General features: G+C 41.6%; 1 protein-coding gene across 8 annotated transcripts in view; it reads right to left on the reverse strand.

Moving 5' to 3' along the window:
- Window positions 1–2,454: 2,454 nt before the first annotated feature.
- The window catches only part of HACD2 (3-hydroxyacyl-CoA dehydratase 2), a 93,500-nt gene continuing 77,556 nt past the window's right edge, over window positions 2,455–18,398 (reverse strand). For 7 of the 8 annotated variants that reach the window (NM_001329786.2, NM_198402.5, NM_001329784.4 and 4 more), the window contains 3 exons: window positions 13,461–13,582; window positions 11,416–11,594; window positions 2,455–5,871 (listed from right to left, as the gene is read on the reverse strand). In NM_001329786.2, coding sequence (NP_001316715.1) covers window positions 5,789–5,871; window positions 11,416–11,594; window positions 13,461–13,582 — 384 coding nt within the window. In that variant the 3' untranslated portion in view covers window positions 2,455–5,788. Of the gene's footprint in view, window positions 10,542–11,415; window positions 11,595–13,460; window positions 13,583–18,398 lie in introns of all 8 variants that reach the window. The other variant, XM_047447663.1, reaches the window with a different exon arrangement.

Genomic DNA, 18,398 nt, shown 5'->3' on the forward strand with positions numbered 1-18,398 from the left:
CTTGGTCCAGACACCGCCTTATAAGGTGGCCTGACATTTTCTCATGGCCCAGGCCACCCTCCAAAAATATCCAGAGACAGAATAAGAGTGGGAACTGGCCTCCCTGAACGTTTCAAATATGAACAAGCAGGCTCTCCATGAAACAGGAGGGCTGACACCTGCTTTGCAAGCCAGCTCCAAAAGCGCTCTGCTTTTCAAAACCAAGTAGTTGCAGGGTCTGCGATGGGGAGGAGGGCTCTGCAGCTGGGAGAAAATAGATTGAGCCTCGAAGCACGCACCCAAGCTGGTTTCTTTGCTCCAAAAAAAGTGTTATTTCCTGTACTCCTCCAGAATATGCTTTAAAATCTGTCTTTGCTTTATATGGACAATAAAAGATCCGTGACTGATTTTCATTAGAGTGCCTCTGCCCCTTTCCGTGTCCTTGGGATGAAGCTGTTTCCCAAACTCCTTTGGCTCTTAAGGCCCCAATCGCTTGTGAGGTGCTGCCCCCGAGTGGGGAAGCCTGGCTACGACAACACCGAGGGGGAAATACAGATCCCGGCTTTAACCAAGTGCAGCATCTGGAAACACATCTGGATTGCCTGCACCCAAAGCCAAAGATAGATGTGAAAGCACTACCATGGTAACAAGTCTATGCTCTGGAATTAGGGAGCAGAAAGCGTGACTTCCAAACATAAAAATATTTATGAAATGGGCACTCTAGGTGCTTATATACACAGCCTTTCACATTCTTATTTTTGCTCACCAAATGAGGTTTTAGGGTGAATTGCCTTTTGTGGGAAGGATTATTTTTGGTATTGAGACTTGCCCTCATAGCACTAATATATCTTTAAATTAAAAGAAGTATTGGTCAAATAACCACACTGCTCTCTCTTCTAACTCTGGTTCTGTTATAGGCAGAGAAATGTTAATAGGTATGGCTAATTTTGGTAATAGTTGCTTAGAACAGTTTCTTCACCATTAAACTGTATGACAATGAGCCAGGCTATTTGTGAGGCTGGGATTTTTTTCTTTTCAATAATAAAAGGAATTGAAAAGCTAGTCCTCATTCTTGTTAAAGGGAATAGAAAAACACAGCAGTATTTTTGGAATGCTGTGTAACAGTAGGTCTCTTAATTATACCAATGGTAATTCCTCCAGGCTAAGGCTTATATTAACATAGTACACATAATTGCCACAAAATATGACAATGACAAATTGGAAAGCCCTTGTCTCCATTACCATGCTAACATTGTAAAGGTTGTGTTTTCTGAGTAGCCTCTACTATTAACTTTACCATCTGTTCCGCAGTTTCAGCTGCAATACTTTTTTCATAAATGAAAAAGCCAACCTCTGAAGCTGAATAGGCTCTACATGAGGAGAGGTGGTCTAACCTCTGAGCTGGGAACATCTAGGCTGCGATCAGATGGCATTTAGAAGGGAAGTGTTCTCCTTTGGAACAAAGACCACACTCTTAGGCCGTGGTGATGATCTGAGAAAGAGCTGGCAGACTCAGGTGGGGAGCACATCACTGCTACAGGCACCATGATCAAGTCGTCACTGGGAAAAGTGACTAGAACATACCCAGCACCAGAGGCCTAGAGCTAGATCAGCTGTGACCCAGCGGAGGACACCCCAAGGCAGTGTCCTTCCCACCACTTCTTACTGCGAGCCTGAGTAAGGGGGGGCCACTCCTGGGATTCCTGTGTTTGGAGGCATTTTCAGAATGAGGTACTTGAACTTCACCACATCTTGCTTTAATGTAAGATGAACAGTGCTGGGCAACAGGATCTCCCGCTGAACTTCTGTTAGAAAAGTTACACTAACAGGCTGGGCGTGGTGGCTCACACCTGTAATCCCAGGCGTGGTGGGAGGCCAAGGCGGGTGGATCACCTGAGGTTAGGAGTTCGAGACCAGCCTGGCCAACATGGTGAAACCCCATCTCTACTAAAAATACAAAAAATTAGCCAGGTGTGGTGGCGGGTGCCTGTAATCCCAGCTACTTGGGAGGCTGAGGCAGAAACATCGCTTGAATCCGGGAGGTGAAGGTTGCAGTGAGCTGAGATCGTGCCATTGCACTCCAGCCTGGGCAACAACAGCGAAACTCTGTCTCAAAACAAAAAAAGAAAAGTTACACTAACAAAACCCCAGCTTGTTATAAGACAAGGTTCCTCAACCCCATGCTGATTAATATCTTAGATTCCCTGGTCACTTGCATGAGGAACCCCTTGTCCCTCTGCAGCCAGCTTGCAGACTGGCTTAGCCTGAAGACTGACTGGCAGGGAAGGACTTTTTGGAAACCTCTTAATATAATCTGTCTTTCCTGTAAGTGCAGAACCATTATGAATAGCAGAATTAGATTTTAAAATTGTCAAAGAGCTGGAGTCCATAATTGAACTGAAATTCTCCCATATTCCTGCAACACCACATTCAGGCCTACTGACTATGAAAAATCACTGCACTCACTGGTAGGTATTTCAAATCCAGGCAGAGCACACACCAGTTTATTTTGAAATGCAACACAGATCAGTATTTTATGAATACAACTTATTACTACATTATCAGGTAAAAACAGCTTTCAAATGCATGCATAGAAAGTTAAGCGTAGTCTCTGGACTCCTTATTTCTAAATATACAAAAAATACATTTAAATTATATAATTTTAGTGAATCAAAGACTTATAAAATTACAATTTTGGTTTTCACAACATAGAAAAAATACAAAAATGACTATATATACGGTTGTACAATTTTTTACCCAAATTTCAAAGGAGCAGTATGTATTGAATTTAATGTTTTATAATGTTTTATCTGAAACTCAGAACTGCAAGTAATTTGCAGGTTGTACCATATCAATGCCAACCTTTTATTATAAATGAATAACCAAAAAAATAAGTGAAAAATGAGGGCACGATCTCTTCTTACACCTCTTCAACTCTCCAGCATCTAAACCTTTCCTGTCAGAAGTCTGCTCTGGAGACTTTTTTCATCTGCAAGGACAGTGCTTTATTCCATGACTAACTCTCCATGGTGCCTCTGGATAATGGTTGGTATGTGTTAAATGAATAAGCCCAACCTCAGCAAACAGAACGCAGCAAGATGTAGATTAGCAGTCTGTGCTGACAAAAGCACTACTGCGGACCTCAAAGAATTCTCTGTCAGAAGAAGGCCCCCACGGAGGGATCTGAAATACATAATCAAGTGGGTAGTTGGGAGGATGATGCCTTTGACTATGCCCTGAAATGAAACCTCTAAGTCTGACAAAATACCCACAAAAACATGACCTTCCTTGTTCACACTTTATAAGAAGGTGTGACATTTGGTGGTGTGGTTGTTCTCAATTTATAAAATAATAAATGACTTCAAAGGAGAAATGAATTCATGTTAGGGATAAAGAAACCAGTTACTGAGAGAGGTTACTGAAGGACACAGTGACATGCCTTACTTATCTGCCATAAGTATTCTAAATGTTGATGTACAAAAATACACACTGGGGTTGAGACCCTTTTTGAAAAGGGAGCTGTGTGCTGTGTTCTCATTGCCAAAGTTCAATTCAATGCAACACCACTGTTTGCAACAGAATGTTTTTTATAAGTAGTGACAAATTATAATAAGGAGGCCCAAATAAAACCCCCAGTCCAGCAACCCTGGAAAAGCTGCATTTTTCATCCTGATTTCTAGAATTTTTCCAAAAACAACTGAAAAAATCTAACAGAACAAAGTAAATGACAAATATAACCCAAGTTGATTCTATTTTATAGTAGAAATACATTATGGAAGAATAAAATGAGAGAAAAGTCATGCAAAAAATCTTTCCCACATATTTTGTCTATCAAATACAAGAATAGATTCTAATTTCAACATGTCCAAGTTGAGTGCTGACTTTAAGAAGCAGAATTTTAATGTTCAATTCAAAAATAATTTATTACACACCTGCCTGCATTAAATTTTCAAACTTCTATAAAAATAAGCACTTAAAAATTTAGTTTTCCAGGGGTTGGGTGCAGTGGCTCATGCCTGCAATCCCAGCACTTTGGGAGGCTGAGGCGGGTGGATCACGAGGTCAGGAGATCAAGACCATCCTGGCTAACACGGTGAAACCCCGTCTCTACTAAAAATACAAAAAAAATTAGCTGGGTGTGGTGGCAGGCACCTGTAGTCCCAGCTACTCAGGAGGCTGAGGCAGGAGGATGGCGTGAACCCGGGAGGTGGAGCTTGCAGTGAGCTGAGATCGCGCCACTGCACTCCAGCCTGGGCAACAGAGCGAGACTCCGTCTCAAGAGAAAAAAAAAATTTAGTTTTCCAGTATGAGTTTTCTGATATTCGCAATTATATTTTAAATGACAACTACTCAATAAGCTAAACTTTTAAACTCTTAAAGTTCAACATCAACCCCCACCCTGCCCCCAAAAAAAGGCAGCTGCAGGGGATGGGGGAGGAAAAAAGGCTCCATGAAGAAGATACTGTGCTATTTAATACTTAATGCACATCTAAACTTGGGCTTTCACATTTTCATCCAACTCTTTCTTTCTTATTTTTTTTCAGTTTACCTACAGTTGCAGTACCAATCCTTTCTTGAGGAGTTTTAAATGCATGGTTGAGCAATTAAATTGTATGAGGATGTGACATGGATTAGACAATGTCGGTAGTACCAAACTATTTCTTGGCTGCTCCAACATGCGGAGATGACACTGCTTTTAGCTCATGACAGCCCAAGGGGAATGTTTTACTGACTATGGACTTATAGCTTGGTGGAAATTAACATAGGAAGTTAATTAGCAAAAGTATCCAAACAGAAGAGTGAATGAAAATTTAAAAATAAAACAATAATGGTGTATAAATCTATTCCTGAATGTTTTTCCTGACTACCTTTCTAAAGCAACACCTTCCATGTGCTTTCACTAACACAGCCTCCTTTCCTATGTGACTGGATCCGCTTCTTCAGGGCCATCAGTGCATCAGTGAGAATAGCTACTGGCAAACACGTTACTCAGAGGTGTTCTGAGAATGGTGCTGTGAAAAGGACTTGTCACTTTTGAGCTATTGAGCTCCCCCTTTCTGAGACCTGTCATTTTGTTAAGACATGATTGAGGCTGAGCTCCAGATAAGATATATTCTTTACGGTACACACATACTTATTAGATTCAAGCACGTTTCTTAGTGGCAGGCAGTAATGACTCAATTGGAAACAAACAAAAGGGTTCTAAGTTGTTTTCTGATTACAGGCACTACCCCGAAGCTTCATAGACATATACATTTTATAATTCATTCATTAGATGTGAGGGGATAGGTCCCAGCCATAACTTCAGAGCATTCCAGAGAACAGAGTTTGCCGCTTCAAAAATACAAAGTTTCCAGCATGCAGTCAAGCACTTTGACAAGGGAATGCTAAACACACTGCAGACTGAAACATAACTATACTGCAAGCTGGGCTATTCAGCTGGTACGACTTCATTATTCAGACTGTAACTCTCAAGTACTTAGTGTTACAGGTCTTCATTGATCAGATACATGAAGGACACAGAAGGACATAAAATGCCAAATCCCTTTCTAGTGCCATCATAAATATTAAGAACTTCTGGTTGAAAGAGCATGCTGAAATGAACTGGCCAGGGTGTTTTATGTAACAACCTTTTTCTAAAATAAAATCTCAGGCCCATGTGACACTGGATTTTTGTTTTAGTTTTGTTTGAATATTTTAAAAATAGTTCTTACTTATTTTCTATGAAACGTATTGGGAACTCAAAAAATCTGCAGCATTTTTTGATCATTGAAAAGTTTGTTTTGGTGGGAGGTGCAGAAAGCAGGAACTATTCAAATTTCTTGTGTTCTTCAGTATGAGAAAGGATCTTTCTTCTCTGGTGTATCATGTGGAAGTATAACTGGGGAAAAACTGAAAAGAAAAGAAAAATTGGTTAAGAGGATGGTTTAAAATTGCATATGCTCTATTTAAAGCATATGAAGTTGAGGTCCTCTCTGACCCTCTGACTAATTTCTCATCCAGCAACCAAGGAAGGTAACAAAGTGGGCTTGGGGAAAGGAAGAAAAAACACAGAGAGACTTACCTCCTTTCTTTTCCTGCTTTAGCTGAGGGAAGAAGTGGTGTGGAATACAATGACAGACACTATTGTCACTATCATGACCTATATCGATGCCACAGAACAGCCAAATAATATTCTGTACGCTCATTCATGTATTATCTCCACATTTATTCTGATTAACTTCACAACAACCAGGTGAAGAATTCTAGTGATGAAGTTATTATTCCTATTTCAAAGAGGAAGAATTTGAGCCCCAGAGAGGGTAAGCAACTTGCCTAGGGTCTCACAGTAAGCCACAGACAGAGTTGGGACCAGGCTCTTGGCTCCTGACCCTCAGCCTAGCCCCATATGGTCCCAGGGCAGGTGATTCTTTGGGAAGAGCAACCTCTCTTGGGAAGTAGTTTCGGGTAAAGACTTGAGGAGGAGGAGGAATGCCACAACATTTGCTTTGAACACAACTAAGCCAGGTTTGGATGTTAAAAAAAAAAAAAAAAGGCCTTATGAAAAGCAAGCCAGTGTCTTAGGCACTGGGGATTCTTCTGTTCTTGGTCATTTTGTAGAATACTTTAGAAAGCACTGGTTCTCAAATGAATGGGATAGTACTGCCTCCCTCGGAACTATTTGGAACTATTTCGATAGTTTGACTATTTGGAAATAAGGGAGAAAGGGAAAGGTTACTGGCATTTGGCATATGAGACCAGGGATGCTAAAACATGCCATAATGCATGACAGTACCCACTACTAAGAAGTATCCCACCCAAAATGCCTATAGTGTCCCTGCTAGGAAATACCACTTTGAGCCACCTGGCCTTCACAAGGTTACTGTGTGTAAACAACTCCAGGTAAAATGCTCTTTGTTGTACAATATCCTTCCTCTCCTCATCTCTCCAACAGCTCCAATCTCTATTTTATTGTTATTATTTTTTTAGACAGAGTCTTACTTTGTCACCCAGGCTGGTATGCAGTGGTGTGATCTTGGCTCATGGTCTGGACCTCCTGGGCTCAGTCAATCCTCCCCACTCAGCCTCCTGAGTAGCTGGGACTACAGGTGCACACCACTTCACACCCAACTAATTTGAATTTTTTGTAGAGATGAGATCTCCTACGTTGCCCAGGCTTGTCTGGAACCCCTGGGGTCAAGGGGTGTGCCCGCCTCAGCCTCCCAAAGTGCTAGGACTATAGGCATGAGCTACCAAGCCCAGCCCAGTCTCTCTTTTTTATACTGTCACGAATATTTTTTGGAAGATAATTTCTACTACTCCCAACTCTCTCCTGACAAGTTTCTTCCTTTTTAAATGGGTTCCAAGCTGGCCAGATTTCAAATGATCCTCCCAAAGTACGCCGGGACACCAGTGCGTGTGTGACAAAGATCTGCTAACCTGCAGAGGAGGCAGCACGTGGAACAGGGCTGCCATCCACGCCATTGCTACTGCCAGGCAGGACGTCGTTCACAGAAAAGACCCCACTTAAGCATATAATTCGACAGGCAGAGAACTATTTTGGCACGAAAGCCAGAAAATCTGACAAGCTCTATAATCTAAAAACTGGAAGTAAAGATATAATTAAACCATTAGGAATGTTAATGGTAATCATTTAAAAATGTGGGGCCAGTCCCATTTCTATAGATTTACTGTAATGAAGGGAATCTGTGAGCTGGGCATGCACAAGACCTTCCCACTGGTTGCATTTGTGTTCACACAACCCCATAGTGGGTGGCTGCAGTCTCACAGCTGGTTCAGAGGGCCCGGGGAAGGAGAATGACCTGGAAGTCATGCATTAAGCCCTTGGTGGCAGTTCAAGGAAGAAGATGGCCACGCAGACCTTCATTTCCATGGGCAGGGCCTGCCACCTATCAGAAGGGTCAGATGATGGCACTTTCACTCCTTTACATCTCCCAGAGATTCCTCAGTACCCAGAGAAAGGAATGTGGATGGGAGGCCAAGGGCCTAGGGTGTCTGGCCTATTCTCCACAGTTCAGGCAGTGGCTTCTGGCTGACCAGAACTATGATTCTGTCTCCATCTGAATCACCTACATGTTCAGACTGAACCCGACCATGAGACTGAAAGCTTTTCAGATGCACGGCTGCCACTTTTAACAACATGAGCTACACTGAGGAATAGCACTGAAAAAACCCCTCAACCCGACAACAGGCTATTGAGAATTCCACCTTCTGCTGTCCCAATTCAGGGAACACAGAATGGGGACACTGCTGGGCACGTGTGTGTGACAGTCCCTGTGTGTTGGGGACGAGGGGGGTGTGGGTGCTGCTGGGCCCTCCTTTCTTTAAGAAGATGGCCAGCCCTCTTGGGGCTCTCTTCCCCTCTGGGGAGAGAACTGTGGAGGACGACAGCACCAGATATGCTCTCTGCCTGGGCCAAGTCTCCTTGGTTTCTCTAAAAATCAGAGGTGTGGTTACAGTCACTGACAACCTGGAAAGCGCCAGCTTCTCCAGGTCCTCACCCCTCATCAATGTATCTTGCCCTTTTTTGGCTCCCTCCACCATAACCAATTTTCACCAATTTGGGGGTGGAATGTAAACAGGCCTTAGACATCTACTGAGTCCTGCAGGGACTGTGTTGTACTAATCCTGTATATATTGCAACTACAGCAGAACAGGAGAGGAGCACCTGGCCAGGGCACCCCAATATGAGGAAACTCCTGGGGTCAAGCCTCATGAGCCACAATTTAGGCTATGTGTGCAACAACGCAACAACAGATGAGGCCCATGAAAAGGAGGTGTTACTTTATATAATACATGTGTATCATCAACTTGCCACTAAAGATTAAAAGAACGCTACCTTGTTTAGAAAGAAAACCAAATTTGGTAAAGGAGACTGCATGTCAACAGCAACCTCTCCTAATTCTGCATTTTCTTCTGATAAATACAAAGCTTTGGAAAGTTGGAAATGTGCAGCTGGCCAGAATGAACTGTACACTCTGGCCTCAACAGTAACAACCTGAACCACTGAGAACATCCAGAGCTGCTGGCTCAGGCCACAGCACAGTGAGGCCAGCAGGCACCAGGGTGACTCGCATCAGGAGAGGTAGTCTGTGTGCCATCTTGAACCTGGGTGAGGAGTCAATGGTTTGCAGGGAATCTTTTAATCATTATTTGAGATCCACCCTTTTCTCCGGTCTACAAGAGGTTAGCTGCCTTAGAAAAAGAAATTATGTTAGACTTTAACTGAGCCAAGTTCTCTTACCAAAAGGAGGCTGAGACTGCAAGGGGGAATTACTTAAGGTAAAGAAAGCAGACTTCTGTTGGGAGGAGAGTCCTTCCCTACTCTCTGAAAGAGGGGTCCCCAACCGCCACCTGTTGGAACAGAGCTGCACAGCAGGAGGTGAGTGGTGGGCAAATGAGCATTACTGCCTGAGCTCTGCCTCCTGTCAGACCAGCAGTGGCTTTAGATTCTCATAGAAGTGTGAACCCTGTTGTAAACTGCACATTCAAGGGATCTAGGTTATATGTTTCTTATGAGAATCTAATGCCTGATGATCTAAGGTAGAACAGTTTCATCCTGAAACCATCCCCTCCACCGCCCAGGGAAAAGCTGTCTTCCATGAAACCGGTCCCTGATGCCAAAAAGGTTGTGGGGACTGCTGCTCTAAAAGACAGCTGGCTCTGGGGTCAGTGTTTTCTCTTTCCTCTATCTCTTTCAAGACCAAGATGAAAAGCTCACAGGAGTGGGTTTCCCTCAGGAACGCTATCATCATGGAGGCTGCGTGTGGTACCCAGGCACTGCCACTACACCAAGAGCTCAGAAGGAAGAGGCAAAGCTCAGCACTGGTTGGCTACCAGAGCATAAAGAGACAAACATGCAGACAGATGGAGGCTGCCCTGGGGAGTGGTTCCTGGAAGGAAGCCCTGCTTCCTAGAGAGGTTGGAAGTCTTGCAGGAACTCTCAGGTAAGAACGCCTAGATTTTTGTCAGTGTGGAAGCAGCTTGTTATGGATCTGATTTCATAAAAACCTCCCTGCCCCTTTCCCAGTCACCCAATATGGTACATATCTCCTATTCATTTGACTATGGTGAATTCAAATAAAGCCTGTGGTGCCCACTGGGATAATATGTGTTAGTTACTCCGGGTGTGGTAAAACTGCAACTGTGAACTGCTGCTCTAGAGACTGGAAAATGAAACTCTAAAAAAAAAAAACAAAATTAGAAAGGTGATAAACTACCAGTTAATTTTTATTACTTAGTAGTTTAGATGATTTCACATTTATCATCTGTTTGAAAATCAACCACTTTTTACATTTGAAGAGAGATGGCCTCTGGTCGCTATGATTCCAGCACTAGAGAGGACTCAACATGAATAAAGAGTGGAAAATGAATCATGAAGCAGAACTGTATCCAAGAATTTCTGCAAGATAAACACTCACATGAAATCTGGATGTAGTTTTTTTCTCACAATGCATGAAATGCAATTTTCCACAGAGGGACACAAGCATGTCGCTTTGTTAGGGTGATTCATTCCGATGATGCCATGCAATGAGGAGAAGTCCAACCCTGTCTGATTTAACCTGGGGTTTAGGGAAGAATACAGTATCTTTTCTAGATTAAAATAAGATTCAGAGTTACAGTGGTTATAGAAATAGCAAAATGAGAAGAACCACTAACACTGTATGTCGTTGGTTATAAGAAGATCTTTTGGTATATAGAAATCAATCATAGGATTTATAATTGAACATCAGAATTCCAGCAAAGGACTAAACTCCTCATCCTCAGAAAGTAGGGCTCACTTCACAGAGACATCAAACATGTCTTTTTCTCTGTCACTGAATACACTGATAGGCACATTTGATTATCCATATACTTAAATCTTCAGCAGTACTATTAAAATAATTGGAAACCATCTTGAAGAGAACACTGTGTCCCAATCAGTGCTCAACAAGAAAATGAAAAATTTAGAAAAAAATAAATCTATTATTATTTTGTTATGTTTCTAGTTAACTACCAATCCCTTCAAAATGAAGTTAAATGTCTATTTTGATATAGTAACCAATGCAAAAATCTTTTTATCATGTTTTTCAAATACTGTAACAAGCAGTTCTTAAGACACAGAAAACTACAATCAAGGTAAGGCCTTTAATGGCTTTTTTGTTTTCCATTCAGTACTTTCCCCAATACATACTTAACCTAGCCTGGTATTCAGTTTCAAACCCACATGCTGAGAAGGGCTGCATTTTGGCAACTGTATTGAGAAGGGTTCATCTTTATTCAATTACTACTGGAAAAAAATTCCTTTTGATAGTCAGCATTCAATAAAAACCAAGAATTCCCAATAAATGAGATTTACATTTACTTGGATATAGTGCAAAGACAGTCAAAGATATTTAGTTATTGTAGAGCCAAATTTTAAAACATAATTAAATATACGCATAACTGTTTACTTACTTGGAATGTAGGAGATCATTATTAGAATCAGGAATGCATAGTAGTCAAAAGAGAAATTGTATTTGTTGGGTAAACTGATGGAATATAGGCCAGCTTGTCTGACAAAGGGCAGAGCTGCATATATTGTGAGCAGTTCTCCTGACACTCCCATTGGGTACAGCACAATGAAAAGTGTGTACCTAAAACAAAACAAAATATTCATTACTGAGGCTCAAAGTCAGCTTTAGAAGGAAGCTGCACTTCCCACCCTTCTAATCAGTACTGGTCTTTTAGAAAATGATTGTTTATACATTTTCCTGTTTACCTGCTACTCAAATTCAGGTTTTACAAGCCAGTTTCTGAAACCAGCCTACAGCAGGTATATGTTTCCAAATGTTCTAACGACAAAATAAAGGCCGTTCAGGCAGCCTCAAAATTTGGTCTGACAAAATAAACAACTCTTCAAAATTATGCTCTAAAATAACTAAAGTGATGCCAAATGTTGGTAAAGTAGGGGAACTGAGTCATGGTTTATACTGACGGGTCCTGCCCTGTGGGTCTTGGGATGGGGTTGGGGTGGTAGTGGCGGAGGTGTTGGAACATGTGGTCTAGGAATTCCACACCACACACAAAGACTGAACAACAAAAAAAATAGCATAAGCATCTGTATACTGCTACTATTTTTCAAATGTTTGTACATGCTATTGTGAAAAATCAAATATATACAATTAAAAAAATTTAAAATTCATAATAGCTTTTGGTTACTATGTAATTTTCCAATCAAAACACCCCACAATTACAATTATCGTCACATGGGAGGGGAATCTGCATAATTGTTTTCTCTTTAAAAAGGAGTTCTCCATATTCCACAAAGAATTCAGAGAGCAGTCACTGTCCCATGGAACTGTAAGCCACTATAAGTATTGCTAAAGGAATCATCAGCTCAGACTTTAAACAGCCTTTGGCTGTTTGTGGCTCACAATGTGCAACGGACTACAAACTTCTGGGCACAGGAATTGTGATGAAAATCTCTGAAGTGGAAGGGAAGACATATTCCCCACTGCCAATTTTAGCCACACTAAGTAGGATGGTGGAAAAAAATCTTTCAGAGGCCATGGAGAACAGTGGATGAAAGAATCTTTCTCCAACAGTAAAATCAGGCCTTGGTCAACAGACTTCCCTAACAACCAGGGTAAAAAGCTTCCACAGTGGCTGTCCAGGTTGGTTAGTAACTGCTATGTTTCCCATTCTTCCCCTTTCCTAATAAAAATGTTCATTGCAAATGAGAAAAATAATAAAATAACAAAGGAGTTCCCATACTCAAAATGTTGGAAACAATCGGATTATGTCCCTAATTTAATTACTGAACTCATAAACACTCTAGGAACCACTGCTTTCCTTCCACCAAATAAGGCATTTCGGCTCCAGGGACTTGGATCCTTCTGCTTTGTCACTCTCCCTCAAAGTCCTTCCCAGCTCAGAAAACTGCCTACAACTGTCTCATGGACTCATTAAGGTAAGCAGATGAACTACTAGCCTTTTACCAAAGTCATCATTACTTGTAAAAACAATCAAAGCAAAACAAAAGTGATAAGCTAAAACTGACATGTAATGTTTGTCATTACCTAAAAATTAATTTAAGAGTCACAACTTCTTGGCAAAATTGAGACTAGGAGAATAGGACTTGGTCCAAAAAAACCCATCACAATGGCAGAAGCTCATCAGTAAAATGTGATGATATGGACAAAAAAGGGATGTTACGGCAAATCTCTATTGATTGCTACTTGGTGATGAAATTTTTTAAAAAAGAAAATACTGCATAATTTAATTGAAAAGAACTGATCCCAATTAAAATAATTTAAGTAAAATATAAAAACCTTAAAACAGTATTTCCGTTAGTCAAAGTTAAGTACAGACTCCTATTCTGATGAAATCTACAGACAAAATTTCTACCCAACCCGTCTCAATTTTATTTTTAGAAACTTTGAGGCAATATTTAGGCAATAAAGGGCAAATTCAATGACAGATCATTTCAAAAGTGAGCCTTTTGAAATGTGCTTTTTTACCTGGCCCATTTGATGAGGTAAGGCAGATGGTTTAATAGACTGAATGTATAAAAGGAGTAACGGATGATTTCCGTGATCGTCCATGCAATAACAAACAGGAGGACACTGTCTTCACTCTGTACCTGAAGGAAGAGGAAAACAAAAGAAAAAAAACACACAGACAACGTTAATGAAGACAGTGTGCAGCACCCGGCAGAGCCAGGGAGTGAGTCGGCACAGCCGCTGGTCTCTATCTTCAGGACCCCTGTATGGCAGAAAGAGCTTGCGTGTAGAGCTGGGGCCTAGGATGACAGCTGTGTACATCCCAGAGATGAGGGCCAAGTGCAAAGGGCCTCAGTCACCAGGAGTGAGAGCAGCAGGGTGGGGGTAACAAACACGAGGGGTGGGGATTTACAGGTTTGCCAGCCTCATGCGGAGAATGTGGACTGATGTCAGTGGTCACGCCTGTAATCCCAGCACTTTGGGAGGCTGAGGTGGGTGGATCACATGAGGTCAGGAGTTTGAGACCAGCCTGGCCAACATGGTAACACCCTGTTTCCACAAAAAATACAGAAAATTAGCCAAGTGTGGTGGCGTATGCCTGTAATCCCAGTTACTCAGGAGGCTGAGGCAGGAGAGTCGCTTGAACCCGGGAGGCGGAGTTTGCAGTGAGCCGAGATAGCGCCACTGCACCCCAGCCTGGGTGACAGAGTGAGACTGTCTCAAAAAAAAAAAAAAAAGCACAACTGAAGATGAGGCTAGCTCACAGAGCAAGAAGAATTCCAGTGAGGGGAGGGCTTGGGACCATCTGCAAGGCAAGGGCCCATTTATTTCCTCCCATTAGAGACTTCTTCCCCCAGAGGCCTGCATTAACTCCTCCATGATTAGGGAAGCTTCCATGCTGTTCCCAGGAGGCAGTTAGAGCCAGAGAGCTTTGAAATCCCCAGTCTCCTCTGAAGTTGTTTTTATGCTGAAAAAAACAATAAAGGTTTAAAAGAGCCCCTAGGTGATTTTTAGGAGGTATTCCCTTGTGTTGAAAATTTACTGCCGTGGTTTTAACTTTCAGCACCTCCCCCAGTCCCTTCCCAGCTGGGTTTGTAATGACCTTTTGTGCTTGAAAATCAGCAAGAAACACCCTTGCACCCCAATTTATATTAGTTTCCATGCATCAAAAAAAAAAAAAAAAAAGACCGTCCAAGAGTGGGATGTAAATAAGAAATCCCACCCCATAAACCGAACAAATCTTGATGACAAGATGGACTTTCTGTCCCACTCCTAATATCTAATACAGCAAGGGAATGGCATTCTAGCCTTAACTTTTGCTTCTTTCCATTTGCAATGTTAATAGTTTTTAGCACTTATGTTCTTCCTCAGAAAGTGTACATGGAGCGGTCCACCTACACAATGAAATAAGTAGTCATTTACATATCTATTAACTAAATTGCTCTGACAAAGAATTTCATAAATGCAGTTACTATTCTCTAAAAATAATAAGAATTTTATACTGTCAAGAGCAAGAGTACTTTCTGTTTTCCTGGTGCTCTCATATTAGCCAAAGAAAAGCAAAAGCTAACCACCTCTAAAGCTTTCATGGTAAGATTTTTCAGTCTGTCTCCAAATCCTTACTTGAATCCATCTATAACAAAATATAATATAAATATAAAAGCACACTTTGCTTTCTGATGTATTTTATAATCCTCTTTATCTTAAGGAGATATGTTTTTACAGCTAAGAGTGGAAGCCTTGCCTAAAGAGCTCTGGGTTATAATAGGAAGTTCCTCTAATATTTTGTACTGTAAACATCTTCAAAGCAGGGAACGTGTTTATTCATCTTCTGTTTTCCAAAAACACTTTGTGCTTTTCACAAGTAAGAGCTCAATAAATAATTGCGGAGCAAATGAATTCAGTCCTAAGTGGGTTACTCCGAGACTCAGTTCCCTTCTTTATGGTGCCTGATAGTTTCCGTGTAGTCTTAGTGACCTTCAAATAGGTAAAAAAAAAAAACAAACAAAACCCAAAACCGCCCAAAACCTCCTGCTTTGACCCAGCCTAGAGATTGGTTATTATTCACCTCCCATCCGTCCCCAAGTTAGACCTCAGCCAAAAGAACTATGACAAACTCAGACTCAGGCTAAGTATGAAAGCAGTCTGTTCCCAGAGCCCAGCTGTGAAGACGATGGCATAAGTCTTTTAAAAAAGACTAGGGATGCAGGAAATGACCATTTTGTGCAAAATCATTTCTTCCAATCAATAGGAAATGCAACATTGTTATCAAGAAGGGATTTGGATAAAGAGATTGACCTTATGTGATTTATAGATAATTATACAACCAATAACTCAAAATGGACAAATGCATAACTTAAAACCAGCATGATCAATGAGACTCGAAGAGATATTTGTACACTCATGTTTATAGCAGCATTATTCACAACAGTCAAAAGGCAAAGAAACCCAGGTGTGTACTGATGGATGGATAAGCAAGATGTGGTCTATACATACAGCGGGATATTATTATATACATACAGTGGAGTATTATGCAGCCTTAAAAGGGAGGAAATTCTTACACATGCTACAACATAGATGAACCTTGAAGACATCATGCTAAGTAAAATAAGCCAGTCACAAAAAGGTGAATACTGTGTGATTCTACTCATATGTGGTACCTAGGGTGAGGCAGAGACAAAGAGTAGAGACAGAAGGTTGCCAGCAGCTGGGAAGATGAGAAATAGAGAATTATTGTTTAATTGGTATGGAGTTCCAGTTTGGGAGGATTAAAAAAGTTCTGGAGATGGATGGTGATGATGGTTGCACAACAATGGGACAGTATTTATGCAACTGAACTATACACTTAGAAGTGGTAAAATGGTAAATGTTGTATGTCTTTTACCACAAAAAATAAATGAAAAAACCCCCAAACCCACAGTAACATAAATTTAATAAGTCTAAATGTAATTACATGACTTAGCAACAACAAAATGACTCCAGATCAGAATGGAGAAGACCCACCTTATGAAATCAAGAGATCTGGAGTTTTTGGTGAACCATAAGCCTCACAGGAGCCAACAGGGTGTGAGGTGGCTGTTCAAACAAACAACACTCCAGGATTCAGCCACATTAACAGTCTTATCCCAATTACTACACTGTAAATAGATGAGACCCCATTTAGGGAACAGAGTCTGCTAGAAGAACTCTTCAACTAGCAGAGCTGACTTTGGAAAAGGAAAGAGAGGGTAAGTACTTTAAAATATGTAAAAGGATACCATGAGCAAGAGGCATATGGACATGAGACTAGTAAAACTGGCAGGGAGTAAAATGCTGGGTTCAACCTAAGAAAAACTGAGTAACAAACCAGGCGACTAATCACATTGGCCACCGCACAAAGTTGTGTGCTTGTAGGCCCTGGACATATCCAAACCAGGACTGCCCAGGAAGGTCCTACCAAGGACAGGGGGCTGAGCTGGCCTGGGGCGGCCAGGGCTGCTGCTGTTCTTTGGAAAGATGCGTGCCCATGATCCCTCCACAGGCAAGGCGTGAAACGCTGGCTAATACTGACTTCCTTGCATGAGCTGAAATTATTCTAGTTGGTGAAAAAAATGGGTAGAGGCTTTGATAATCTTCTTAAAAATAATTTTTTCCTTCATCCAAAAGGCCAGAGAGGAGAGAATAACTGACAAGCTCTCCTGTCATCATTGCTGACTGCTGAGCATGTGAAACGTGAACAGTTCTCTGGCAATTACTCCCTGCTTGATGGCAAGGTCTTCAAGGGCCCAGGTCTCATCATTTGGCTTCCTCAGTCCTGACAGAGGTCTGGACACAGGGATGTGTGGAATCAATGCCCCTTAAATTGGATGATAACTTATATTTTTCTTTTCCTCCCCATTCTTTTTTTCTTGAGACTGGGTCTTGTTCTGTTACCCAGGCTGAAAGGCAGTAGCACAATCACAGCTCACCACAGCTTCAACCTTCAACCTCCCAGGACAGCCTCCTCAGGACTGATCCTCCCACCTCAGTCTCAAGAGTAGCTGGGACTACAGGTGTGTGCCACCACACCCAGCTAATTTTTTTTTCTTATTTTTTGTAGAAATGGGGTTTCACTATGTTGCCCAGGCTGGTCTTGAACTCCTAGACTCAAGTGATCCTCCCTCCTCGGCCTCCCAAAATGCTGGGATTACAAGTGTGAGCCACTACACCTGGCCACTTTTCTATTTTGAAAACAACAATTGGGAACATTTTTATGGTAAGTGGGGAGCCTCCTTTCTGTTAAGTGCCAGTGACTCATCAATAGCCTCAGAGAAGTAAGAAAAGCTAATTTAGCTCAGGAGGGGTTTTTTGAGGGGCAACGGATTTGGATTATAAGAAGTTCTACTCAGCTGCTTTTTGAATTTATAACTAGAAACATATAAACATATGATTTTATTAATTATCAAGAATAAGAGGCTTATGACTGAGTGGCTCTTGCCTATAATCCCAGTGTTTTGGGAGGCTGAGGCAGGAGGATCACTTGAGGCCAGGAGCTGCGATCAGCCTGGGCAGCATAGTGAGATTCCGTTTCTACAATAAAATTAAAAAGTAGCCAGGGTGGTGGTGCACACCTGTGGTCCCACCTACTTGGGAGGTGAGGTGGAAGGATTGCTTGAGCCCAGGAATTTGACGTTAAAGTGAGCTATGATGGTGCCACTGCACTCCAGCCTGGGTGACGAGCAAGACCCTGTCTCTTAAAAGAAGAAAAAAGGAGGTTTAATAAGTCTGCTCAAAGATTTTAATGCAAATGTTCATAGAGTATTAGTCATAACTGAAAAGTGAAAACAACCCAAATATCCATCAACTGGTGAATGGATAAACGACAAGTGATATATATATATACCTGTACAGTGGAATACTATTCAGCAACATAAAGGTAAGAAATATTGACACATGCTACAACACAGACAAGCCTCCAAAACATCATGTTGAATGAAA

The sequence above is a fragment of the Homo sapiens genome, chromosome 3 (assembly GCF_000001405.40).
Source record: "Homo sapiens chromosome 3, GRCh38.p14 Primary Assembly".
In the NCBI taxonomy this organism is placed as follows: Eukaryota; Metazoa; Chordata; class Mammalia; order Primates; family Hominidae; genus Homo; species Homo sapiens.